Raw genomic sequence first — 27,684 nt, 5'->3', positions numbered from 1 at the left:
TGATGCAAATAGTGCCACCATGGCCAATTACAAGCTCCACCATGACATTGCTGAGCATGGCTGGAAAGAGCCATGAAGAATCAGCTCTCTTGAGCCAGTGCAAGCTGGCTCCAGCACACACTGAGCTGCAGGATTGTGTTTAGGGCTAATAGCTATTGGCAAATTCAACACTTGTTGAAAATAGACATCATTGAGTTCTAGAATCAAATGCCTGTTGCTCTATTGCCTGCCTTTTGGTCATTGTTTCTCTAGCTTTTTGAAGGGGCTCAGTAAATCTCACGACTGTGGACCCCAGACCCTTTGACTTAATGAAGGTTGATGTCTTCATTAGATTTTGAAAAGGAATGCTTGAACATTTTATTACCTGGTTGCTGGTGCCTAGTACTCTCTGTTCCATTGCCCATCTCCCCCACCTCCTGTGACACATTCCTGAAAGTGCTCCAGGAAAAAAATGTTACAGACTTGGCAGATCAGCGTTTTCTGATTGTGCAATGTCCTTCCTGAGAAACTCCATTCTCCAAAGGCAGTCATTCTGAAACAAGAGCTAGAAATGGGGGTCCAGGCCACCCCCTGGGATGGCAGAATAAGAGGTCAGGTGGTAGTGGACTGGGACATACTGAATCTATAGGAAATGGCATCCATGTGTGTCTCACCAGTTTTATGGATGTAGAAAAACTGTCAAAGAGTTCATTGGAAGGAAGAAAGGGACAAAATACTTCACTTTCATTTAGATTATATTTTGCCCCTTACAAAGTAACTTCATAAACATTGTATCATTTGCTCGTCACAAGAGACTGATGAGACATACTAATATTGTGAATATAATAAATATAATAATGTAACATATGATTATTGTGTATTATATTATATAATTATACAATATATGTAATTATATGTTGATATATAATTATAATAAATATGTAATATATTATATAAAATAATATATTATATATTAGTATGTGATTATATATGTGACCACATGTATGTAAATATATGTAATATATTGTATATATAAGAACACAATAAATGTTAAGAATATAATAAATATGAATATTTATTTTCTGTCTATAGGTGAAGACACTGAGACTCAGGGAAAATAAATGATTTGGTTAGGGTCACACAGATGTTAATGACAGGGGAGGAACTTGAAGTCTGTCTGATTCTAGTCTAAAGCTCTTTCCATATCAGACTGATGCATGTGTGGGTGTATGTGATGATTCAAGACGGTTTCTATCAGCCCTGATTATTTAATCACACTAGGTGGATTACAAACTACCAGAACTTTTAAACAAGGTGGAAATTATGCTACTCTTAAGAAGCTTCAGTGGGATCCTGGGTGTCAGAGGTTCTCAAAGATATAGATCAGTAATGCCTCACTTATCCAGGCTGGCAGAGAAGGAGATATACGGCAACAATAAAATGTCTATGTGATTGTTTGCATACCTAAAACTTCCAAAGTTTTTATTTATTTTTTTTATTTCTTGTGGAGACAGAGTCTCATTAGGTTGTTCAAGCTGGTCTTGAACTCCTGTCCTCAAGCAAACCTCCAGCCTTGGCCTCCCACAGTGCTGAAGTTACAAGCATGAACCACCCAGCCTGGCCAAAGCTTCCGACTTTTAAAGGACATCATTTAAAATTGTGTTGCACATCACCTTGTATTCTTAAGCATAGAATGCCAAATACAGCTTATTTAACATTTTCTTCTTGACTTAGTGCATCATTGTAAATCTCAATTTGTTTTAGTCTTTTCTTTAATTCACAACCCTCTCGGGCTCTACACTACAAGGTTCCAGTCTGCTGTGCTTTTTGGAGTTCCTGTTTCTTATCTGCTTCTATTGGTGCACTTACCTTTAAGGATTTCTGCTCCCTCTTCTACCTTGTTGGTTTGAATCTGTTAAAAAGTGAGGAACCAGCTCAGATAACCCAGTTTGATAGACTTGTTGATCAAGCAGGAGCAGATAGGTTTTAAATAAAGGCTGGATGACCCTTCTGGAGTAAACACTTTCTATCACCTTCCTTAGTTTTAGGGGTTGATAGGGGCTGTTGCAGTGCTGCTCATATCTGTTTACCAGATGAGCTCTCTTGTCACTCAGCTCTGTAGGTGTTGGTGATCAATGGCTTGCAGCTGCACCTTTCACTGAAGCCTTGCCCTTAGCCTACAGGAGCTGATCCGCCCAGAAATACCTGAGAGGTTTTTCCCTAACCTCTGGGTGTGGCTTGCAGCCAACCACTAATACAGGGGTATAAAAGCCCAGCCCCCTTGCTTCAAGTTGGGACAATTCTGTAAGGCCATCCTTGTTCCAGTGCTATCTGTGGGACCGGACAGAGACTGAACTGCAGCTGACCGCATATCCTCACTTTGCTTCTTCCCAGCCCTGTCTTGCTTCCCTCACTGCCTTACAAGGTTTCACTTGCATGTGCTTGCAGAAGACTCCTGACTCTGCCATTGCAACCTCTGATGTTAGGGATCTTAACCTAAGACAGGAGACTTCCTGCCCGGGCCCTATGTTTTATATTTTCACCTATATTCTGGAGAGGTAAGATAACAAAAATTCCCTATACTCCTCCCTCTCCTCCAACTCAGCATTAAGAGAGAAGAGAAGCCTAGTCGTGAAAGAATGTAGAATGAGAAAAAAATCATTTTGCAAAAGATATCTTAAAATTTCATTCATTTGTCAAATTTTGATTTAAAGCCTATTATATGAGTCACTGTACTAGGTTCTGAGGATACAAAAATAACAGACACAATCTCCCCTCCCTTCACCCTTTTGAGAGCCTCACAGTCTGATGAGAAAACCAACAAGAAATAGGACAATTCCCATACCTCTTGATAAATGATATTATTGAAGTTAGAACTTATTCATTTAAGAAGTATCTCTAAGCATCCACTATGTGCTAAACATTTGAGGTATAAACTGCAGAATCCAAAGGCTGGAAAAGATATGAAAACTTTTACTTTGGAAATGATACTGGAGGAGGTTCTAGTAGAGCAGGAGGAGTTTATCAGGTGAAGAATATTAGAGATAGTGTTCAGATTGAAGGACAATGTTTTGAAAAGATACAGTGTTCGGCGGGGGGACTGGAACTGAGGAGGAGTTTATCACTGCAGGAGATGAGGAGAGGAAGGCAGGGATGGATGTGAAAAGCTTTCTCTGCCAGGCTAGAAAATTGGGGTTTTATCCTGTAGGTAACTTGGAGCCAAGATAGCCTTATGAAACTAAAAATGTGGTCAAGACCATTTCAGTAGGATCATGACTGTCATCCATAGGACAAATTGGGAAGGAAGCAGGGTGGATGCCCATAGCCCCATCAGTGCACAGCTTGACAAGCAGATGCCTACATCAGGCCTTTATGTGCAGTGCACCAACTGTGCAACAGTATGTAACAGCCCTAATGACCTGTGATATCATGGCTTACTTATGGCATTTGTGTTTCTTTTATTAGGAAAATGAAGAATTCCTTAAGTTCTCACTTGAAAATTTGATTTGTAAGGGAACTGGAAGTTTTCCTGCTGAGTGCTCCATGTGTAAGAGGTGAGCAGCTACCCATATATGACTTGATAGATCAAGACACAACCAAGGTAATCTCTGCCCCTGACCCCATATGCTATCAACATTGCCTGAGAGGCCACCATGTCAGTCCCATTTCCCCTGACTCACCAGGCTTTCAATCCAGCCTGGGAGATGAGATTTTAAATTTGGGTGGAAGGGTGAGAAGGGAGTGGGGAGGGGAGGGTTGAGAAGAGACAATGTGAGGTCACTGAGGCACGATGGGGAAACGGAAGTAGTGGGAATGGGGAAGAGTGTGGAAAGAAGGCAAGAGGCGAGAAATCAGAGCTGGAAGGAGGTCATTAATATACATCTTCTTTCCTTCACAATATTGCAGTGGGCAGGCTCTTTCTGCTCAAATTCCATGTTATGTACCATGCAACAGTTCCTAAGAGCCCTAATGACCCATGCCATCATGGCTTATAGCATCTCATCTAGCCTGGGAGATGGGATTTTAAATAATAGTACCAAGTATTTTGATTATTTTATTATTGTAGGGAAAATAGATTTTCCCATGCACAGACTAAGTAATTCCTGCCTTTGTTCATGTTTTCCCTAATAATAATATAAACAACAACAATATTCAACATTGTTTGAACAGTTACTCCATGCTTGGCATTGTGCTAAGAGCTTTGCCTGTATTTATGTCACACAATTCTTCCCCTGAGCCTATGATAGAGTTATTGTTGTTAGTTATTTATTATGAAAGAGGAAAGTTAAGCTTGGAGAGGTGACACAGCTTGCTCAGAATCACACAGTTGGTGAGTGGCACACTCAGGCCAATCTGTCTTGTTTTACAATCAACACTTAAACTACTGTGCTCCATGGCTTCTGCAGCTGTTGGCTCCTTCCTCCACCATTTCAAATGCTTTTCATTCACTTCAGGTTTCCTTCATTGACTTAACTAATATTATTGAGAACCTTCTACATGTATTGGTGCTTTTGTATGGAACTTTCCTACACTGATTTCTACCTTCTTTAAACACTTTCAAGCCTTCAAGGTAGACAGTAAATTTTATTACAGGTTTGTTTAGTTCTCTAAATGTTTTCAGTGGCTTTATTTTGTTTTCTTTCCCAAAAGATTTTTCAGTCATTGCCGGGTCAGGGTCAAGGCTTCAAGGTCCTGATCTCCTCACCAGCACCCAACACTGTGTTGGGCTGAAAGCAGGAAACCCCTGGCCCTTAGCCCCTGACATCAGTGAGGTGAGCCCTGTCCAGTGACTGCATTTTAAGGAAGAAGAAATGCATGTGTGGATCAGATAAGGTCTGCGTGATATCTGGAGAAGAAGATGCCCTATGAGTGAGGATCAGCTATGTTTACCATTTAAATCCACAGAAGCAAGCCAAGATAACAGTCAGAGTCTGTGGACAGAAGTTCATGAAGATCATTGCTTGACAGGTCAGGGTAAAGGTCTCTTTCTTTCAAAATATGTGAAGGGGCAGGAAACGTGTGCACCAGGTGTTTCATCTTCATGGCTGCCTGGGAAAGATAATTCTGTCTACTCGATAAGAACATTGTGCTCCACACATCAGGTTGTTTTCCCAACAGCTATTTTCTGCCTATAAAAATGAGCATTGCTGGCTCCCAGCTTCTTTTTGGAAATCCCTTGGGCCACACACAATAACAAAAGGTATCTTATATTTATACAAAGCTGTCCTCAGAAAAGCTCAAGGACCTGAACAAAGCTTGTTTTCATGTATAAGGGTTCTTATATAATCCCCGAGGGGGAAAGGAGCGGAGGGTGACAATTGAGTTAGGAATGTTTTCGTTCCCAGCTAACAAAACGGAAAAGTGAGGCCTCAAGGTGTGACACACTGATGGTCACGAACTGGACAGGGAGTCCTTCTTCCTTACTTCCTGTCCAGGGCGCTGCACCCCGGAGAACACTGCCTTGTCAGAAACCCTGGAGGATTTGAAAACCTAGGGGAGACGACTGGAGGGGAGAGACTGGGAGAGAAAGCCCAGCCATGTGGGAAGGGACACTGTAGCCTCACTGCCTTCAGTGACTGGTCCTCACTGGTCAAGATTTTGCAACTGTGAAATGAGAGTTCCTTTTGTCCTCTGTGGAACTGATCCTGGGGAGAATTTAAAAAAAAAAAAGCTACCTGAGGTAGTACTTCAATAGGGAGAATTGAATCACCCTCTTTAGGAGTTACAGCTAAATCACAGGAAAGTTGAAAAGCCTGAATGGCTTGGAAAAGAAGAGCCATCTGAGCAAAGGGCATACTGTAAATATTTATTCCACACTTGGATACAACAGTGAGTAAGGCATAAGCCCTGCATCATGTAGCAGGAGAGATAAGCACCAGATAAAGGGACCTGTGAAGGCTGGAGGGATACAAGGAAAGGGCAGTTACTTTTGACTGTCGCTTTAAGTCAGGACTCCCTGGGGTCCAGAGGGCAGCCTTGCAGCTGAGGCTTGAAAGGTTGGTGAGAACAGTTTTATGAGGTGTCTTCTGCACTGCACTGAGATGGTAGCTCTGCTTTAAAATTGGCTGGGGATCCTTAGAAAACACTCCACCTCTAAACAATCCAATTAAATTGATGAGTGTAGCCCAGGCATTGGTATTGTTGATGAGTTCCTAGGTGGTTTTACAGAGCAACCAGGGTAGACAACCACAAAAAGAGTGTGGGCTTTGGAATTAGACAGTCCTGTTGTAGTATCCTGTGCCCTCGGGCAAGGTCCATGGTGGGCAGTGTGAGTCTTCCACGACTTCATTGTTTCTTCCCACTTCTGCCCACCCCTGTGAAGAAACTCTTCCACGAGAGAATCCCTCCTCTTTGACAAACTTTCCTTGACTGAGAAACCCTAAATTGGGAATTGGCAAACCTGGATTCCATCCCAGCTCTGCCGGTGAGGTACTACACAGGCTTGCTGCATCACACAGGGAGATAAGGCAAAGACACTCAGGATTGTTATTTGCCAGGCACTGCGCCAGGTATCCAACATATCCTGGAGCCTCCATTTTCCATCCGTTGATGTTTAGAGATCAGTATTTGCAAGTTGTAAAGTCCACTTAATAGGCTATGGCCAGATTTTTTTTTTTTAAATAGAAAATGTAATAGAAAAATGTAGTGTACTACATGGAAGAAGTGCAAGGATTACAAAGTAGAATTTCGTTTCAGTTATAGATGGATGTGTGTATGGAGTCATGATGTAAAATGTGTTTCACGTTGTGAGTTGCAAGTTAAAAAATTTGGGAGTGCTCATTTTGGCAGCGTATATCCTAAAACTGCAACAATACAGAGAAGATTCCATGGCCCCTGTGCAAAGATGCACAGCTATCTTGCTGTATCTTCACAAACTTTTGAAGCATCCCATCTTTTGTTTTATGTCATGTTTTTCTTAACCACAATAAGAAAAAAAAGTTTGAGAACCATGGGATTATATGCTTCCTAGGACCCATTTCCTTCTACTCTATAGCCCAGGGCTATGCAGCCTACATGTAACCTTTCTGTGACCAGCCTTTCTGTGACCTCCTTTTAGCTAATGCCATGTAATTCTGACCAATCATTTATGTTTTCAAGAGGGAGGCAGGATGTTGTACTGGTTAAAAGTACCATTTTGAATTAGCTAAGTCAATGCTTGATTGAATTTCTTCACTTATTAATTGAATGACCCAGAAAATGTACATAACCTCCATCAGCTTTAGGTTTCTTGCATGAGATGATAACACCCAGGACACATGATGGCTATAAGTTAAATGAAATGCTGTAGGAGAAACTCTTAGCACAAACCACCTTGCTCATAGAAGTGCTCGGTGTGTGGTAGCAATTATTACCTGACTTCCCACCACACCCAGATTTTAAGGTACAGTCTGTAATTTAGTGCCTGGCATATATGAAGTCATAAATTGTAAAAAAGGATTCCGGCCTGAAGCAGACTCTCATGTTGAAGAACAGCTGTTCTCTGTTGGCAGGCTCTGTTGACATACAGGTCTTGGGAGGAGAGTCAGAGCACTCTGCAAGTGTCCTCTACCTACACATCCCCTCCAGGCTTTTCCTCTGGCATGGCCAGTGAGCACTGAGACGGCAAAGGCAAAAGGAGGTGGGTCCTGGCTACAGTTTGCTCCAAGAATCAAAATGACCCTATTTCGGCGCTATCAAAATCAACAGACAGATAGATACTGGAGATCAGCTGTGTCATAAACTGGGCATCTGGCTGAAAAGGTTTCAGAAAGAAGCACAAAGAAAGAAATGAGAAAGAGCTGGTGGCCAGAACATTAAGAAACTGGGTGTGAGATTCAGACTTTAGACCAGAAATAAATGGATGTCATCAAAGTGTAAACAAATAAGCAACTCAGTAGGTCCTAATTGCCTCAGAAATAGGCTGGGAACCAAGGCATCACCTTATAAATGATTCATTTCAGGAAATACCCACTAATCAATTACTAGGGCTTCTGTGTAATAGTTTCCCCAGATTTATAGGTGGTGAACGTGTGAATTGGATCATTGATTCTAGAATGAGATAAGCAGCAATACTGGTAACCTAATCTACTTAATCCAACTAGCTACAGAGACATTAGCTGCCCTTAGTGGAAGCCAGCCAATTACTGAAGAGTGAAAAGAAATCCATTAATCATGGCAGAGCCTCACCAGCCCAATCTCCCTAGGGCATTCAGTTATGCTGAGAAGATGTTGATGGAGAAGAGGATAATGACCCATATACAGATATATGGGAAAAGGGGGAGGGGGTGATGGGGGAGGGGGAAGAAGCCTCCTGAAATTGCACAGGAAAAAAATGAGCCTTAAAATGGTAAAAACGATTAAAAGAAACATACAAATAGTATTACACAGAGGATTGTTGAAAGTAGCATTAGCTGCAAGTGTATATGCATATTTCTAAAAAGAAAACTTGGTTTGAGATTATATAGTAAAAAACAAAATGTATGTGAATAGTGTTGCCCCACCTAGAACTGTGTTGCTAACACAATGGTTTTTCAGGAAAGAAAAGGCAAGGATGCCTGGAAATAGCTGCATCTACTCAGCCCCCATCCCAAGCAATCAAATGAAGTCCAGGAAATTCCATATATAACTAGAAGAATAGACATCCTGGAGCATTTTTGCCACAGTTAAGATTAGCGGAAACAGACCCCCATCAAAGCTAGTAACAAAGAAGAACTAAAGGTGAACAAACTGTGGTGGGTCCCCCTGCCTCTCTCCTGAAAAGGTGGTAGCCACGCAGGCCGGATGGATGCAACTAGGGCATGGGCAGTTGCCTTGGCTGTGCTAACAGTCTTTTGTTGTGAGCCCACCCCCATTCAACAGCAACACAGGGGAACCTACTTCTCCAAGGAAATAATGAAAACAAAGGTGGCCAGAGCTCAGCGTATCCTCCTGATTCATCCTTACAATCCCTAGAAGTGGTTGTTAAATAGCAACGGTTTATGATTAGCACTTTTGGGATCTTGTTTGAGAAATCCTTCCCTCTCCAGAGGTCATAAAGATATTCCCCTATATTTTTTCTAAAGTAAAATTTTTCCTTCTCTGTGGAATTAAGAGACACAAAAAGCACAAAGCAAAAGGAAGAGATTAATACATTTCACTTCATTAAAATAAAGGACTTCTGTTTACCAAAAATACCACAAGGAGAGTAAAATGGTCAGCCTCAAAGTGGAAGAAAACCTTTACACTACATCTAACTGACAAAGAAGGGATTAGGACCTGGAATATATAAAGAATGACTATAACCCATTGAAAGATGCGCCCAAAACATGATTAGGTAATTCACAAAAGAAATATAAATGACTATTCAGCATATTTAAAGTCCCTCAACTCCATTAGTAATCAGAGAAGTGCAGATTTGCAAATTAGAATTATAATATCATTTTATACCCACTAGATGTACAAAAACTTATGAAGTCTGACAATATTAAGTATTAATGAGGATGTGGAAAAACAGAATCTTATGTACTGCTGTTGAGACTGTAAATTAGTACATTTTCTTTGGAAAACAATTCGGCATTATCAATCACAGGTAAAGATGACATTCCTATGACCCAGCAATTTCACTCCTAGGTATGTACCCTAGAGAAACTCTTGCACATGTACACCAGGAGATATGTATAAGACTGTTAATGGGAGTGTATTAGCTACAAAAATTAGCTGGGCGTCATGGTCATGGTGCGCGCCTGTACTCCCAGCTACTCAGGAGGCTGAGGCAAGAGAATCGCTTGAACCTGGGAGGTGGAGGTTGCAGTGAGCCAAGATCGCACCACTGCACTTGAGCCTGGGCGACAGAGCAAGACTCCATCTCCAAAAAAAAAAAAAAAAAACAGGAAAAAGAAAAACAGTGTATTAACAAACACACAAGCAAAGCTAAACAAACGCTGTCAGGGAATACTTACATTGTAGTCAACTAATTTTTAGTAAAAGGCGAAAGATTTATACGATCTGAAGAGAAACCAGAGTATATAGTCAACTAATTTTTAAAAGCAAGGGTATGGTAAACACAAAATTCACGGTGACAGTTATGTCTGAGGGGAGGAGGATGGGAGTTGGGTTAGCTTCAATTGTGTGGTTAATTTGGGGATTCTTTAGTCGGCTGGCGGGTCAGAGTGTGTTCATACTTTTGCACATATTCTGGTGTAGGCACAGACTGTTTCATAATAAATTATTCTCTAACTCCTGGCCTCAAGCGATCCTCCTGCCTCAGCCTTCCAAAGTACTGGGAATACAGGCGTGAGCAACTAAGCCCAGCAAACACTTTGAATTTTAAATTGTTATTAAGAGACCCAGTGCTTGGAGTCTTGGCATCTTTAGACTTTATAATCCTAGCACCACTCATACAGCTACAACCCCTTTTAAAATGGCTATTTCTCTGTAGTTCCAGCTACTCAGGAGGCTGAGGCAGGAGAAGGGCGTGAGCCCGGGAGGCGGAGCTTGCAGTGAGCAGAGTGAGCCGACATCGCGCCACTGCCCTCCAGCCTGGGCGAAAGAATGAGACTCCGTCTCAAAAAAAAAAAAAAGGCTATTTCTATCTTTTGTATCTTTGGGTTTTACCCATCTTCCCAAAAGGATTATATAGTTAACCAGATGGCAGGACTCTGAAGGCAGGAACTCTTGTTTTATTCATCTCTGTATGCCTAAGACTTGGAAAAAGATATGCTTTATAAGTTTTTAAAAATCTTTTAATTTTGAAATAATTATAAATTCACAGAAAGTTATAAAAATAATACAGAGAGTTTCCATTTACGTTTCACTCAATTTCTCTCAATGATTATAGCTTATACAACTGTAAAGCAATATTAAAACCAGGAATCTACCATTGGTACAATGCCTGTGCATAGTTCATACTGTTTCATCATGTATGTAGATTCACATAACCATCACTGAAGTCAAGACACAGAGCTGTTCCATCACCACAAATATCTCCCTTAGGCTACCCCTTTGTAATCATACCCAGCCCCCTCCCGCATCATCCCTAGCCCCTGGCAGCCACTACTCTGCTTTCCACTTTCGTAATTTTGTCATTTTGACAATGTAATGCAAATGGAATTACATGGTATATGACTTTTTAATTTTTTTTGATACAGGGTCACATTCTATCACCCAGGCATGCACCCAGTGCATGATCATGGCTCACTGCAGCCTTGACCTCCTGGGCTTAGGTGATCCTCTCACCTCAGCCTCTAGCTGGGACTATATACATGCACATGCCACCACACCCAGCTATTTTTTTTTTTTAAATTTGTAGAGATGGGAATCTCACTATGTTGCTCAGGCTGTTCTTGAACTCCTGGCCTGAAGTAATCTTCCTACGTCAGCCTCCCAAAGCATTGGGATTACAGGTATGAGACACTGCACCTGGCTGGTATATAACTTTTTGAGGTTGGCTTTTTTCACTGACAAAAATGCCCTTGAGCATTGAGTTGGGTCATTAAAAAAAAAAAAAAACCATTCTGCCAACCTCTGCCTTTTAATTGGTGCATTCAGATCATTTATGATGATGTAATTAATATGTTAGGTCTTAAGTATGTCATTTTATGTTTTCAGTTTATTTTCTTTTTGTTCTTTAGATTGGGTGATTTCTATTGTTCTACTTTCATGTTCATTGATTCTTCCCTCTCTCCTCTCTATTGTGTTGTTGAGCCCATCCAATGAATATTTTATTTCAGTTATTGTGGTTTTTAGTTCAGATTTCAATTTGGTTCTTTGTTATATCTTTTATTTCTTTGCTGAGACTTTCTGTTTTTTCATTTATTTTAAGTATGTTTGTAATTACGCATTAAAATATTTTTATGATAGCTGCTTTAAAATCTTTGCCAGATAAATTCAACATTTATGTCATTTCTATGTTTTTAAATATTTTTAATGTTTTTATTGCATGTAGTTTATGATTTCAAAAATTTACTGTAACATATAGCCTTATAGATCATAGAATGCTTTTATTTTTCCTTTTTCTAATTTCATTTTTTTAATGTTCAGGGGGTACATGTGCAGGATGTGCAGGTTTGTTACATAGGTAAATCTGTGCCGTGATGGTTTGCTCCACAGATCTTCCCATCACCCCGATATTAAGCCCAGCATCCATTAGCTATTTTTCCTGATACTCTCCCTCCTGATACTCCTCCCCCGCCACCCTCCCACAGGCCCCAGTGTGTGCTGTATCCCATCATGTGTCCATGTGTTCTCATCATTCAGTTCCCATTTGTAAGTGAGATCATGCGATATTTGGGCTTCTGTTCCTGCATTAAGTTTGCTGAGGATAACAGCCTTCTGCTCCATCCATGTCCCTGCAAAGGACATGATTTCATACTGTTTACGGCTGCATGGTATTCCATGGTGTATATGCACCACATTTCTTTATCCATTCTATCACTGATGGGAATTTAGGTTGATTCCATGCCTTTGTTATTGTGAATAGTGCTGCAATGAACATACTTTTCTCCAACGAGAGATTAAAATAGCTACATCTTACTTGTTTTGTTTGTTTCTTTAAACCATCTTACTACAAGGAAAGGATCAACAGAAGCTGGGTCTCTGTGAGGAATCCCATGTCATTATAATTCCTGATCCTGTATATTAAAATGACATACTTCACAAAAAGCCCGGGATATACCATTAAGCATAACTTGGTGTTTTGAGGTTTGCAATAATGCAATGTGGTGGGGTCTTCATTTATCATAATGAATACTCAGTGGGCTTTTTCAATCTGGAAACTTGTTTCTGTGGTTCTGGGAAATTTCCTTGTTTTATTTCTTTCATAATATCTTCCCCACCATTCTTGGTGTTTGCTGTTTTGGAACTTCTATCTGTAGGATATAGTGGACTGTTTCTTTCAATTCTCTAGTAATAACTTTTATATTCTCTTTGGTTCTCTGTTTGAAATGCTTGTTCCCTGGTGTCGTGACAAAATAGCACTTGAACATAAATTTAATTTATTCAGCAAGACCATTTTTATTTCCTGCAGAAAGGGTACACTCGCCAGCAGTTTTGCCTCGAGAGTATAACACTGAACAAAGGAGAGAGGGTCATTTATAACCTGACACGTTCACCCTACTGCTGTGTCCATTTTCCATTGGCTGGAACGGAACCTCACATTCTGTATTTGTCTCGATTGGCTAGCAACTTAGAACTTTTTAAAAGAGGCAAAGGTAGAGGAGAACAAAGGAAGGAGGACGCAACTTGTGGAATGCTGAGAAAGGCAGAAACACCTTTAAATAAGGAAAAGGAACAGGCTGTGACCTAATGCTTGCTTGGACCAGTATAAGCATGCCAGGGCAAATATTTAGGCTAAATTGTGGGAGCTAAGAACATAAAGTACTTTGATTTCTTTATTACAGCTAGCAGATATTTAGGAAAGTTAGCACAGGTCTTTGAACACATTTTGCTTCTAAGAGAAGTTATTATTTATTTCTAATTAAATGGGGAGGAAAGTCTTTGAAGAAGAACCTCTACTTTTTACATTCGCTTATCTTTTCTTACGTTATCTTCCATATTTTATACCTTTATGTTTTTAGAAAATTTTTAATTTTATTTTTCAGACATTTTATTAAATTTTCATTTCTGCTTTCCTACTTTTAATATTCAAGATTTATTTCCTGACTGTTTTTGGTTTGAAGGTTATACTAGCCTCATGAAACCTCATGAAATGAGGTGGGTGGGTTTTTTCTTTTCCTTTTTTTTGTTCCTGAAAAAGTTGTGTAAGATTAGAATCACAAGTTTAGCATCCCTAATATGATGCTGGATAGTGAGGGATTGCCCTAGTATCCAAAATCCAAAATCTGAGAATCTCCAAATCCAAACTTTTTGAGTGTTGACATGATGTTCAAAGGGAATGCTCATTGGAGCATTTCAGATTAAGGATTTTCAGATTTGGGATGCTCAACTGGTATAATGCAAATATTCTGAAACTCCCCCCACCCCCACCTCAAAAAAATCAAAATTTGAAACATTTCTGGTCCCAAACATTGTATTTTTAAAAAAATTTTATTTATTTATTTATTTTGAGACAGAGTCTCACTCTGTTGCCCAGACTGGAGTGCAGTGGTGTGATCTTGGCTCACTGCAATCTCTGCCTCCTGGGTTCAAGTGATTCTCTTGCCTCAGCTTCCTGAGTAGCTGGGATTACAAGCATGCGCCACCACACCTGGCTAATATATATATATTTTTTTAGTAGAGATGGAGTTTCACCATGTTGGCCAGGCTGATCTCGAACTTCTGACCTCAGGTGATCCGACCACCTCTGCCTCCCAAAGTGCTGGGATTACAGGTGTGAGCCACTGCACCCGGCCACCAAACATTTTAAATAAGGGATACTCAACCGGTATCTGTTCTCTGAGTGTTTGGTACAACTCACTGGTAAAATGTTCAAGAATTAGTTTCACTTTGCAAAAATATTAAAAATTATTGATTTTATTTCTTTAATAAATGTAGGATTATTCAGATTTTCTGTCTTCCTGAATTAGTTTTCTCATTTTTTCCCTGAGATGTGTTTATATATCTTAGTTTTCTAATTTACTTGTTACTAATGTTCACTTGTTATCCTGTCACTCTTCTGCATTGGTAATTATGTTTGATTAATTATTTCAAATAGTGTTTATTTTTTCCTTTTCATTTCTTCATAATATCTTCAGAGGTTTGTTAATTTATTAGTTTTTTCAAAGAACTCACATTTGCTTTAATGATATTCTCTAGTTAATCTGTTTACCATTTCATTAGCTTTAGCTTTTATATTTACTACTTTTTCTACTTTAGCTTTTATATTTATCATTTTTCTACTTTATACATATTTTGTTACTAACTTCTTAAGTTATATATTTAGCTTGCTAACTTGTTAGTCTTTATTTTTTAGAAAAGCATTTTCCCCCAGATTTTGCCCTAAGCTTTGGTTTTGCTGTATCACATATGTTTTTATTCTCTTTTCATGCTAAAAATTAAAAACGATTGTTAAGTGATTTATTCTTTGACTGGAGTTATTCAGAAGCATGTGCTTAATTTTTTTAAAAAAGAGTTTGGTTGTTTCATTATTGATTTCTGATATAATTGCATTTTAGTCAGATAACTTTTGTGTAAATTCTGATTTCTTGAAATTCTTTGAGATTTATTTAATGGCCTTACACATATTCAATTTTCATATGTGTTCTGTGTAAGTTTGAAAAAAATGCCAATTTACCAAATTTTAGATACATTCTTTCATATATCATCATTATATCAAACCTGTTAATTAATTATATTAGTCAAGTTCATATTCTTACTGGTTACTTTGCCTACCTGATCACTCAGTTACCAATGGAGATATATTAAAATCTCTTACGATAATGAAGGATGTATCAATTTTGTATTTGTTACATCTTATTAGCAACTTTAACTTTTAAAAAACTATGTAGTGATTTATTGCCTTAAACAATGTTTTGCTCCTTTAAGTTGATTTTGTCTGATGTCAATTTAGATTTTATTTAGTATTTGCATGATAATATTCATCCTTTTAGTCTCAGTCTATTTATGTCCCTAGTTTTTAATTGGCAGTCTTGTAAGTAACATACTGGTGAATGTTTTTTGAAATCTAGTCTGACAGTCTTTGGCTTTTAACTGGCGCATTTATGCATTTACATTTATTGTGATTACAGCTATATTTAGATTTATTTTACTTTTTATGTTGTGTTTTCTATTTATCTTTATTTCTATTTATATTTCATATGTCCTTTCTTCTTCTTAAATACTTTCTTTTGCATTGCGTTTGTTTTCCCATTTCATTTTTCTCCTCAATTAATTGCAAATTATATCTTTATTTTTATTGTTTAAATGATTCCCTATAAATTTAGAATGTATTTTAATTTAGCAAAGGCTAAAGTTGATTCATTCACTTATTCTTTTCCCAAATAATATAAACAACGTAAGACACCCTTAATTCTGTTCACTCCATCCCAACTTATGAGTAACTGCTATTATTATCCAGTATTTTAGTTCTTGTAGTCTTTTTTTTTTTTTTTGAGACGGAGTCTCGCTCTGTCGCCCAGGCTGGAGTGCAGTGGCGGGATCTCGGCTCACTGCAAGCTCCGCCTCCCAGGTTCACGCCATTCTCCTGCCTCAGCCTCCCTAGTAGCTGGGACTACAGGCGCCCGCCACCACGCCCGGCTAATTTTTTGTATTTTTAGTAGAGACGGGGTTTCACCGTTTTAGCCGGGATGGTCTCGATCTCCTGACCTCGTGATCCGCCCGCCTCGGCCTCCCAAAGTGCTGGGATTACAGGCGTGAGCCAAGTTCTTGTAGTCTTTAAGCCCTCAAATTACAGAGTTGCTTTAGATTAATCCACTCATTTAACATTTTGTTTGCTCACTATTTCTTCTTACATCTCAGGCTTCCCTGGGGGCTCATTTTCCTTCTTTCTGGAGTAAATCTTTTAGACATTCCTTTAAAAAGAATCTCTCAATTTTTATTTTCTAAAAATATTTTTATTTTGCTATTGTTCTTCAAAGATCATTTCTGTAGTAATATCATTCTAGGTTGATGGTTTTTTCCTCTCTGCTTAAAAAAAATCCATTATTTTCTGATTTTTTGTGACTATTGAGAATAGGCCCTACTTTCTCTATTGAGCAATTAGATGTCAATCAAATTTGTACCTATATCAGTAATCTGACTTGTTCTCTGGCTGCTTTTATGATTTTCTTTCTTTTTTCCATTAAAAAAATTATATTCGCTTCTCTTTTCCTCCCTTCTTCTTTCCCTCCCTCTTTCTTTCCTTGTTTTGATATTCTGCAGTATCTTACAATGTATCTAGTATCTAGCCTCGAATCTCTTTTTATTTATTTTGCTTTACTTGGTTTTCTGTGTCTGAGGATTTCTGCCTCATACATTTGGGAAAATTCTTATTCACCATCTCTTTGAATATTGCCTTCTTCTACATTTTCTCTACTACCTCTTTCTTATACTCTGATAAGCTAGATGGTACATCTCTTAATTATAGTCTCCATGTCTTTTTTCCCCCAAATATACATGTTCATTTTTATTTTATTTTATTAAAAAAAATTCAGCACCGGGAAATCAACATTTTGTTTTTTTGGAAAAGGACTGATAACTTAAAACTTGCAGGGTTCTGTTAGTTTTATAAATATGTATGTTCAAAATATTTTGATTAAGAACATTTTAATCACAAGGCCAGCATATGTTACTATGAATCCAGTTGAAATCCAGACCAGTAAAGATTTGGTTATACAGCTTGTGATCTTTTCTGGGATTGAAACATCACACAGGAAAAAGTCTTGTCTGGTACAGTTGCTTATAATTGCACTTTCCTCTCCATTGCTCAAGTCCTTATTTCAGGAGCTCTAATCCAATTTTCTCAGACCCCATCTCCCTACTGGCCAACAAAGGTTTCATGCTGGGTCTTGCAAAATTAAGCTATAAGCTTTTCTTCCACCAAAGGTTTGAATCTGAGCACAGATGTCAGAGTTAATCCAGTCACCCCAGGCCCTCTTAAACCCATAGAAAAGTAGATTTGTCTTACTGCCTTTTTAATGGTGTGGAATTTTCCTCTGCTTGGCAGCCCTCCTCACTTTGTTGGTTATACCTAATTGGGTTTATCTTTTTCTGAACCAACATCATGGGAAGACCTTTCGGCAAGTGGACTGTATTTCTTTCTAGGGCTTAAAATGTGGGTCATAGACATCTCTAGAGACTAAATATCCACTGGGAATCCTTATCCCACTCTACTTGTTTGTTCTGAAAACAAAACTGTCATCAGTCACCCTGGAAAACAGAACCTGGGGTCTTAAGGATGTTGTAGCAGTTACATGATATTACAGCTAAACTGAGTATGCCCAGTGGTGTTAATTGGGGTCAACTTCCAACATGCTTTTGAGGTCTATGATGCTACCACTACAACCCAAGTCTCTGAAAGGGTGCAAAGTTATCAACAGTACAACTAGATCCATGGTCTTTTAGATAAGTCACTTACTATCATAAGTGAACATCTAATTTGAGGTCAGGTTTCCTAACTAAGCATTTGGCTTTCAGAGCAATCTCTAGTAAATTTCTTATATCCCTGGTTCTTGGCAGTAGAGTTTAAATAATATAGAAATACTTATTTCAAATCCTGACTGTAACACTTTTAATTGTGTGACATTGGGCAAGTTATTCAAACTCCATTGATTTTTCAACTGCAAAATTGAGACAGTGTTGTTCACCTCAAAGGTTTGTTGTGAGGACTAAGGAAACTGATGTATGTAAAACACCTACTATATACATGCTCAATAGATAGTAGTTCTGATTGCCTTATTGACAAGATCACATCCTTAGTTCTGCCAAGAATAGCTTGCTGACTTATTGCCAAGAAATATGGGCTGCAGATTTAGGTTCAAAATTGTATGGAGAGCAAGAACCACCAGCCAAGTTGGAGACTGGCAGACTGATTTCCTATACTCATCTTGGCCCAGTATTTGGTAGACATGTTGCAATATTGCAGAAAATGTGAAACCAAGGGGAGAACTGGAAGAACGTGAGACAGGTTGGAGTTATGCAATTGTTTTGCAGCCCTGGTCCTCTCTGTTGCCACAGCTCGAGTCCACAATTCCTCATTGTGTACCAGGTCTCTGCTGCCTGCAGCTTCTCTTTCTTCTCACTCTATGATTTATGAGGTCATTTTGTCTTGTGGGTCAGAAGATGGGGCCTAAGGCACCAAAAAGAGCTATGTTGAGTGCCATGGTGGTGACAGAGGCGTGCTAAAAAATGACCATAAGAGACCAGCTAGATTATATGCCAGATGCTGCACTAGGAGCCTAAGCAACAATGGCCCATGAGACATGGTCTCTGTCCTCAAGGAGTTCACCACAATTGAATGGATGGGAGAGACAAATGTACAGACAGTGTCACTGTAGAGCAGTGGGTGACTCTTCTGGGAGGTCAGAGAAAGGGACATGAGTGCTGAGAAGTAAAGGTGTATATAAGGAGGTAGCCAGAAAGAGCAGACATGTGTGTGCATGCATGTACTGTGTTTAGGTAGGAGCAGGAGAGTGGGGAAGAGACAAGATAAAATGCATTTGAAAACTGTACCTGCTGTGAGGATACAGCTGGTGTGGGCTGGGAGGTGAGAAGGAGCAAGGGATATTTGAGAAGCTGTTTGCTCAACTGCGATTGGTGCCACTGGTGTCATATAAGGGGCTCTGTTATCTACAGAGGATTCCCTAGTGACCTGCACAGGAACGAGGAAGAGTCTTCTGCCATGAAGACCCTACTGTTAGAGCGAAATCCTTTTTTCACTACTTCTCTTTGGTGTTCCTTTCTTCTTGTCTCTTCCTCTTCCACCACCTCCCAAATGTTTGTTTGTTTTCGCATCCCCTGTGCTTTGTTGAGAGATTTTGCTGCGATGTGGGAAATCCCAGGGAACAAACCCACAGTGGTCAGGTCTAGGGTGAGGTACTAGACCTTCCTTTCAAGGGGTAACTATTAACCGGGCATAAACACTTGCTTAGCTCCATGTGGCATTGAGCCCCTCCTTTCGCATTCAACCCTGATCTCTGAGGGCCTCTTTACCAGTTTCCCTCTAGGAGAAGGTTTTTCTTTTAGCCCCTACTCAGAAAAAGAACCGTAGTGCCTCTGCCAGAGTCTCAGTTCTCCCTCTCAACTCCTGACTGAAGCTGTTTCACAGTCACCTGATCTAGACTGGGAAAAGCACCTCTGTCTCTGAAACAATAGTCAGTTTCTCTCTCCTCTCCACCTGCTTTCTTTCTCTGTCTCCTTTGTCTTTCCCTTCCATCTCCCCTTACCCTAATCCCACACAAACAAGTCTCTTGGCTGTCCCTCTCTTCAATTTTTACAACTTTTATCATGACCACCCCCACTCCCAGATTCCTGGTCTCTCAGCCTTTTCTGTGCAATCCCAAATTCATATGCTTTTCTAAAAGTGTAATTAACTGATATTTATTGAGAACATAATATGTACTAGAGGCTTTATATATATTAACTCATGTAATCATTGAAAAAAAATCATGTGGAGTAGGTGTTATTATCTGTATTTTTTAAATGAGAAAATGGAAGTTCAAAGCTATATGATAATTTGCCCAAGATCACAAACCGGTGATTTCAGCAGAGCTAAAATTCAAATCAGGTCTGACTCAAAAGCTCATGAGTTTCACTTTGCATTGTATACATTTTTTTCTGATTATGAAATGTTTTCATAGAAAATGTGAATAACTCAGAAAAACGAAGATGCACCCTCCTATATTTCTACATCCTGATTATTACTATTTATGATTTCTGTTCTGTCCTTATCTTATGCAGTTTAAAATACATAGTTATGAAATTGGCACATATATATGAGTATATATTAATATATTATGCATATATATACATAATATTCTGTACTATTTTTACCTAGCATTATCTTATTTTTCATATCACTAGATAGTTCTCAAAAATGAAATTTTAAAAGAAAAAACAAAATGAGATTTTAAAAGAAAAAATAAAAAATAGAAACGTGGTTGAATATAATATGCTGTATTATATTCAACCATGTTTCTATTATTAGTGTTTTATTTTTTCATTTAAAAACTTTATAAGTAATGCTGGGATGATAATACTTATAAAAAAGTTTTGGAGCTCCTATTTGATTATTTTTTAAATATTGGAAGTAAACATTTTAGGTGTATAATACTTTCAAGAATCTTGACCTATGTCCACAAATTAAATTCAAGAAAAACTATACTTATTCACATTGTTATCAGAAATATATAAAGTCATCTCCCAGAAACCTTCTAACAATAAACTCTTAAAAATATTTGTCAGTTGTTTGCTGACAACAATTACATCATTGTTTAGATTTGTAAATTCTTGGATTCCTATTAAATAGAATATTTTTCAAATGTTTACTGATCATTTACATTTCTTCTCAGTTTCCTTTTTTTAGAGCAGGGGCTGGCAAACTACAGCCCATGGGCCAAATCTGTTTTTGTAAATAAAGTTTCACAGGGTCTCAGCCATACCCTTTCATTTATGGAAATGCTCCCTTGCAGTTCTGCAGAGATGGGTAGTCATGATAGAAACTGTAGGGTTCCATAAATCCTAAAATATTTCCCAGATGGACCTTTACGGGAATGTTTACCCACCCCTGTTGTAGAGAACAGACTCCTGTTTTGGCAATCTCTTATTCCCTTTGTCTTGGGTTTTCAAGTACTTTCCCTGTATGTCTCAGGCTGATTTTTTTTTTTTAAACTCTCTTACTGTCAGTAAGAGAGACATGTCTGGACTAGATGCTTGCCAATAGGTAGGATGCAGGGATTTCCCTCGGTCGCCCTTGTTGACCACCAGCCTGCTTGTTGAATCCCTTCTCAGGTCTACAGAAAAGTGATTGTGTATTTTGTTGTCTAATTTCCAGCGTCCAGCTGGTGCTCATGTAACATAGCTCTGGGTTCCAAGGGAGGATTTTCTGTCTTCGTCCATAGATTGTTTCTCTAATATAAATCATTAATAAAGTCATTGGTAATTCTATTGCTTTTGAAAGACAATACAATTTTTAAAAGCATGGATCCTAGAACCAGATTGTTTGGTTGAAAGGTCAGGTCTGCCACTTACCAGCAGTGTGAATCTGGATACATTATTTTTTCCTTGTGCCACTTTCTCATCATCTGTAAAAATCATAGGGCTTATGCTATTACATTCCTCACAAGGGACATGGAGGAGACAGTGCTCATTGAGATATTCATGAGCTTCCCAACATTTCCCAGCCTCCCTGGCTGTGACTGGGGCCATTTGACTAGTTCTAACTGGTGGACTGGGGGTAGAAGTATCATGTGTCATTGCAAGGCTGAGGCAGTTAAGAGCTGCTTTGCCTTCTACCACAGAGCACTTGTGTGATCACAAGATGGAGAGAGCCTGAATCCTTGAGTTAGCAGGTAGAAGAGAGTCTCTGCTTGCCTAAATCAAACTTGGCATGAGCAAGAAATAAACTTGTGTTGTGCTAACTTAATTACTGAGATTTTGGAGTTTTAAATTTCTTTTTCCTACAGCATAGTTTATGCTAGTCTAATATAGGATTGTCCTCAGAACTAATTAATACATAAAATGCACATTAAGTTCTGTAAAAATGTTTTCTTTTCTTACTCCTCTTCTTCTTATTATTAAAAGGACCACAATTCTTAGAATTGACTCTTTTGTTTTCCACTCACATCTTTATTATTTTATTTATTACTTATGAGGAGCCAGCCTTATATAATGCATTTGCTACACACACACATACACCCACCATGTTGTTTTAGGGAGATTGTTGTCTCCAAATAAATCTAGAAATTTGGGTTGGGGTAGGGGAAGAAAGAGTTCTATGTCCATCTCAAAAGACAGCACTCACATATTCAATTCTTCTTAGACAGACTCTGTATCTCTGAGCAAGATAAATTAATCTATGTGTCTTTCTGCCTTCTCTCAGGCTGCTGGAGTTGCTCTGCTTCATGAGAAAAGCATAGGCCAACCACCATTTTGTTTTCTCAATACACGTCCTTGCAGATGAACACCTCAAACCACATGCTTTACAGTTAGTAGACATTTCTCCCACATCCTGCAGCCGGTGTTTTATCTTTCAGTGTTAGCATTTTCATCTTTTTTCTTGGTCTTTGTTGGTTCTTTATTAAACCATCAGTCTTGTTTCTTAGGGTCACACATCTCAGGCCTTGATGAACATTCATTTAGCCATGCCTCTTATGTGGAGTACATTCAATCCATACATTCTCAATAAAGTTTTTTGCCTTCTAAACTTGCTTGTTTTGAATGTTCTTTCATTTGCTGGAACACAGAACACAATGTTCTTTCATTTGTTGGAACACAGAACACAGATATAATTTAGAGAGTTGCTGGTGTTCAGTATTCTCTGTCCCTCATATTGTTGTTCATTCCAAATAGTAAACCATCCTATGTTTCTTTCTTAAGATATCCAAGTTATGATCTAACTTCATTATTCTTGGATAACGTAACTCGATTATTCACTGTCTACATCTTGAGCCCCAGTGTGCATCATCTCTTCATGCTATTTTGGAGTCAGTAAATTTAAGAAAGTATAAATGTGCCAATCATTCAACTTTGGTGGAAAAATGAGTAGGGGGCAAATCCTAAAGGGCCATAAATGCCAAACCCAAGGTCATTAGAATTTTGTACCATAGGGAACCTGGTAATTTGGTGCAATATGCATTATGGAAAGGTGATCCTGGTAAGAAACATGGAAGTCAGTAAAGAGGAGAAAGATGATAAGGCCTTGGACAAAGGGAGTGGGAATGCGGATAGAACCCCAGAGCATTTGGTTTACCCATTCGACCTTCAGGAAATAGAGAGGAGAGAGATCATAGTCGAGAGGAATGTAGAATTGATAGGACTTGGTGTCGGGTTGAAGAAGCCAGAGATATGTGACTCCAGGTTTTTGATTTGAGTCACTATGAGTACTGGTGTCGTTTATTTATCAAAACTCAGCTCACGTGAAGAGAAGATTTTTAGAGAAGATAATGTATTTATTTATTGGTTGTATTGTATTTGAGATATCTTTGGGACATTCTGTTGAGAAGTGTGAAAGACATTTGTATATATAGGCCCAGAACTCAGAGAAGGGAACCAAAGTAGAGAGGAACAGAAAATCAGCTCAGGTAATCAATCCTCAGCTTTGAACAAATAGCTGGGGTGTGGCAGCGCTACAGGGAGAGCCCTGAGAGGTGTGAAGGAGCAGCTGGGCCAACCTGCCAGATGGCTGCAGTGTCACCAAAGGATGACATTAATCTGCTGTGCAGTGTGAAACTTAGGGACTGCCTGACATTCTAAACGAAAGAGAATATTGAATGGGGAGGGAGTAGGTTTCCTGCAGTTTAGTTGCTGAGCTTTGGAGCCAGCAAAAGCTGACATATTAATGTGATCTCATTAGCACCCACATGCAGAAAAGCTTCCCCATTTAATCTTCAGCCATTATCTTACTATTCAGGACAGGAAGGCCTCCTACTTACCTCTTCAGAGCATTCCCTTGGTCTTTCTCTCCTTTCATCCACACAGAGAACTTTGCCCCAAATGGCGGCAGCATATTGTGGAAATAGCTGGGGCTATGGATACTTTTAATTCTGATCTGAAATGCTGGGTAGAAACTTACTAGCTATGGAAAGCTCCTTAAACTACTTTGCTTCTTTGAGCCTCCGTTTCCTTTTTTGTAACCTCACATGTTGAGAAGATGAAATGATACAAATATTTGGTGCAGATCGATTTCTTTCTTTTAATTGTTTAGTACTTTTTTGCTTTAAAGTAAAAGCAAAGTAGTGAGTTAACATCTCACCCAGAGACATTTGTTTTCTTTTCCACAAAAGAGTACTTCCAGAAATACAAATCAAAACTATAATGAGATATCATCTTACCTCAGTTAAAATGGTTACTAATATGTACTATTAATATGTACCCACAAAAATTAAAAGTTAATATGTACCCACAAAAATTAAAAATAAAAAAATTTTAAAATAAAAGTAATGTGATTTTTTTTTTTTTTAAAAAAAGAGTGTTTTCATACACCTTCTGGCAAAGGTTGTAGTAACTTTCATTGAGGTACAAGAACCTCACCCTCATTTTAACGAGCGTTGGTTTCAGCTTCCAGTCGATATCTGATAGAGTCTGATTAATTAACTGGATTACCCTTTCAATTTGACGAAGTTTCAGAAAACCATTGTTCAACAGAACAGATGGGTCCTCTCCTCCTTTTTATGTAAGCTTGCAAACTGCAGTCAAATCCTCTGATAATTCAATCTTGTCTGACACAACTTTGTATTTCTGAACACCATGGCGGAAGATCACTGTTGCTTCTGCTGCTTTTTCTGCCCAGGAGGGCCTCATCTACCTCATTCATCTCGTTAAGGTTTGTAATCTCAAATTTCTGTTTTATTTACTTGCTGTGATTGTTGACTGAATTGCATATCCTATCAGTAGAACTTGGTCTGGGAAACCATGTGAATTCCTTTATCTTTTGTAAGTGGTATAGAAATTTTATTGGGATGTTCACATGCCTGATAAAGGGTAGGGCTCTGTCCACCAAAACTCTTGTGGTCATAGCGTGGTTACAGCTGCAATGGGAAAAGTAGTTTCCAAACTACCCAAGATGAATTTTAGTGCTTCCTGTAGTCTTCCATCCAGCTTCTTCAGGCCAGATTCTTAAACAATGTGGGGTCTTATCTTCATCGTTGTTAGCCTAGGTCCAATGACGCTGAGGGTATTTGGGAGAGCTCATTCATAATTCCTGATCTTGCATTCCAAAGATACCTGGAAGGTGAAACTTACGTCTTGAGGGTATTTCCAAAGTGAAAGCCATTCTCTCTTGGCCAGCTTTGTGGGCTTGCTAGGAAAACGAACCATTGCCATAACCTTTAGCATCCACGTTATCATCTGACATTTCTTTGTCCTTTTTAAGAGTTAAATACTCACAGTTTTATATTTCAAAGTGGCCTATGTTATACTATGAAGAACACTTTGTTTCATCTTAATCACCTTCAGAAAAATGACCCAAGGTACTACCCTTAGATGCTTGTAGGCACTTTCCTCATGAGTCCTCTTATTCTAAATACTTAAAATTATGAACTAGTAACATATTATTTTACAACTTCTGTGAATAGTATCTTAGTTTACTGAAAGGCTTTTTTATGTAACCATGGATTCTTTTTTTTTTGTCTTTAGAGTTGACCTTCTGTTTTCTGAAGTTACTTTAAGGATCATGTTTCAGAAGGAAAACAAGCCTGGCATAGAAACCACTTCAGCGCCTGTTTATCCAGCACGCAGGGTGAGGACACTATTAGGCGTGAAAAAACAATTTCATGGGTATTAGGCTATAGTTCCAGGACTCACCTTCAAGGACTGAGGGTCTTAGGCTGCTGCTATGAGGATGTCAATGCCAGTGTCCCTGAGGAAGAGGCCAGATTGAATATTGCTGAATTTGTTTTCTGAATAAATATTTAGAAACAGCCACCCTTCACTTTTCATCTTTTTGCCTGCACACCTGATTAAACATTTATAAAAATAACTGCAAAGTGAAATTATCACCACAATGAGGACCAGATGCAATTGTACCTCCTGGAGAAGAGAGTGAAGTGGATGTGGAAGAAAAGCATGTAGGGATGATCAGGAACGGAGACACGTGGGGGCGATGAGAGATGGGTCTCAGCAGAAGACTGGGGAGGTCATTCTGGAACCATTCCTGTCTCTCGACCAGGACTGGCAGGCTCAGGCTGAGCCAAGAACTCATAAATACCTCTAGTAAGTGAGTTAATCATTTAATAAATACGGAAACTATGCATGGGCCTCAAGGTTAAAGGTGAATGGGCAGGGTTTCAAAAACAATTTCATTAAGTAGACAATAATAGACTACAACTGATGGCTTGTGTTCCCACATTAAAACAAAAAACTCTTTCAAATGAACTAATGCACCCTGGGTTCAAAATAATAAAAAGATATTAGAAGACTGAGAAAAACTGAAATATTAAGATATAAGTAAAAGAACCATATGATATGTAGCATATAGCAGATATTGGAAAGCTACTTGTGTATATATTAATCTTGCTGAATAGAGATAGTGGTTCTATGAGGTCAGGGCCTTGTCTTCATCTTTCTGTTCCTCACAGCATGTGTGATTAAGTTGAATTCAATACACGGGAATTCAGTTCAATTCCATGTAACACTTGCATTGTGGTTATGCATTGTGTAATTCAGAAAAAAATCAATAAAATTGTCTATAGTATCAATAATTCCTTACATTGGATTTAATTTACCTGCACCTCCAAATTGAGAAAAAGGAAATGATACACTCATTATTTAATAAGATTAAAGTGTATGTATTAAACAACTGGAAGAAATCCAGCTGTGATGTTTCACCCAACAAAGTCAAGTGGACTGAAAATGAAGAATTGCTAACAGCAGTAACAACATCAAAACACTCAGAGGAGAGATGCTGTTCTAAGTGTTTTACATGTTAATACACTTAATCATCATAAAATCCTATATGGTAGGAACTGCTATTAACCTCATTTTACAGAGAAAGAAACAGAAGCACAGAGAGGCCACATTACTTGTGCAAAGTCATTCAACTTAGGCTCCAGAATCTCTGCTGTGGACTCCTGCATGACTGTACTGTGAAATGAGATGGAATAAAGGTAGAAGCAAAATACCATGAAATTACAAGAGGATAGGGAGTGTTTCATCTGATAAATTCAAGGAAGCCTTTATAAAAGAGGTGCCATGTAAGTTGAAAGAGAAGGTTAAATTTCAGCAGATGGAGAAGAAAGCATGTCTTTAAAACAATTGTGGACTTGGATGGAGGAATAGAGGAAATAAAGGAGGATATTTCAGAAGAAAGAAAGAAATGAGAAAGAATATGGAGAAAGAGAAGCTCAAGGCTATTTGGGGAAACAGTGGATAAGGCAGTTTGGCTGGAGAAGACATTTGTATTGCTGATGCAGGAGATCACCTGAGAAAGGTATGGATGAGGGAGGTATAAACTTCGCTCCTTAAGGCAGTGGAGGCAACGGGAAGCTATTGAAAACTGTTCAGCTAGGAAGTGACATGAGTAGAAAATTTTCATGGCTGCCTCTCTACCAAAAATTAGCCTCAAAACTTGGAAATCCATCCTGCCTGATCACTGAGTTTAGTTGGAAGTCAAGGCCAAATAGTGTGGATTTCAAAAGACTCACATCTTAGCTGTACAAT

General features: G+C 38.7%; 1 long non-coding RNA gene and 1 pseudogene across 1 annotated transcript, besides 1 other annotated feature; both read left to right on the top strand.

The window, feature by feature from the left end:
- The first annotated feature begins 3,444 nt into the window (after positions 1–3,444).
- On the top strand, positions 3,445–25,950 carry LOC124900703 (uncharacterized). The gene is made up of 2 exons (XR_007058121.1): positions 3,445–3,533; positions 25,663–25,950. It is a non-coding gene; the product is annotated as an uncharacterized LOC124900703 (long non-coding RNA).
- On the top strand, positions 6,753–6,859 carry RNU6-410P (RNA, U6 small nuclear 410, pseudogene; annotated as a pseudogene).
- Positions 25,098–26,297: an enhancer, noted in NCBI's record as "BRD4-independent group 4 enhancer chr4:55878694-55879893 (GRCh37/hg19 assembly coordinates)". NCBI's record gives its function as "activates an origin of replication core promoter dependent on BRD2, P300/CBP, MED14 and CDK7 cofactors, and independent of BRD4, by STARR-seq in HCT116 cells {active_cell/tissue: HCT116}" and the evidence as "EXISTENCE:reporter gene assay evidence [ECO:0000049][PMID:35650434]".

Source organism: Homo sapiens, chromosome 4, assembly GCF_000001405.40.
Source record: "Homo sapiens chromosome 4, GRCh38.p14 Primary Assembly".
In the NCBI taxonomy this organism is placed as follows: Eukaryota; Metazoa; Chordata; class Mammalia; order Primates; family Hominidae; genus Homo; species Homo sapiens.
This window is presented reverse-complemented; position numbering and strand designations above follow the sequence as displayed.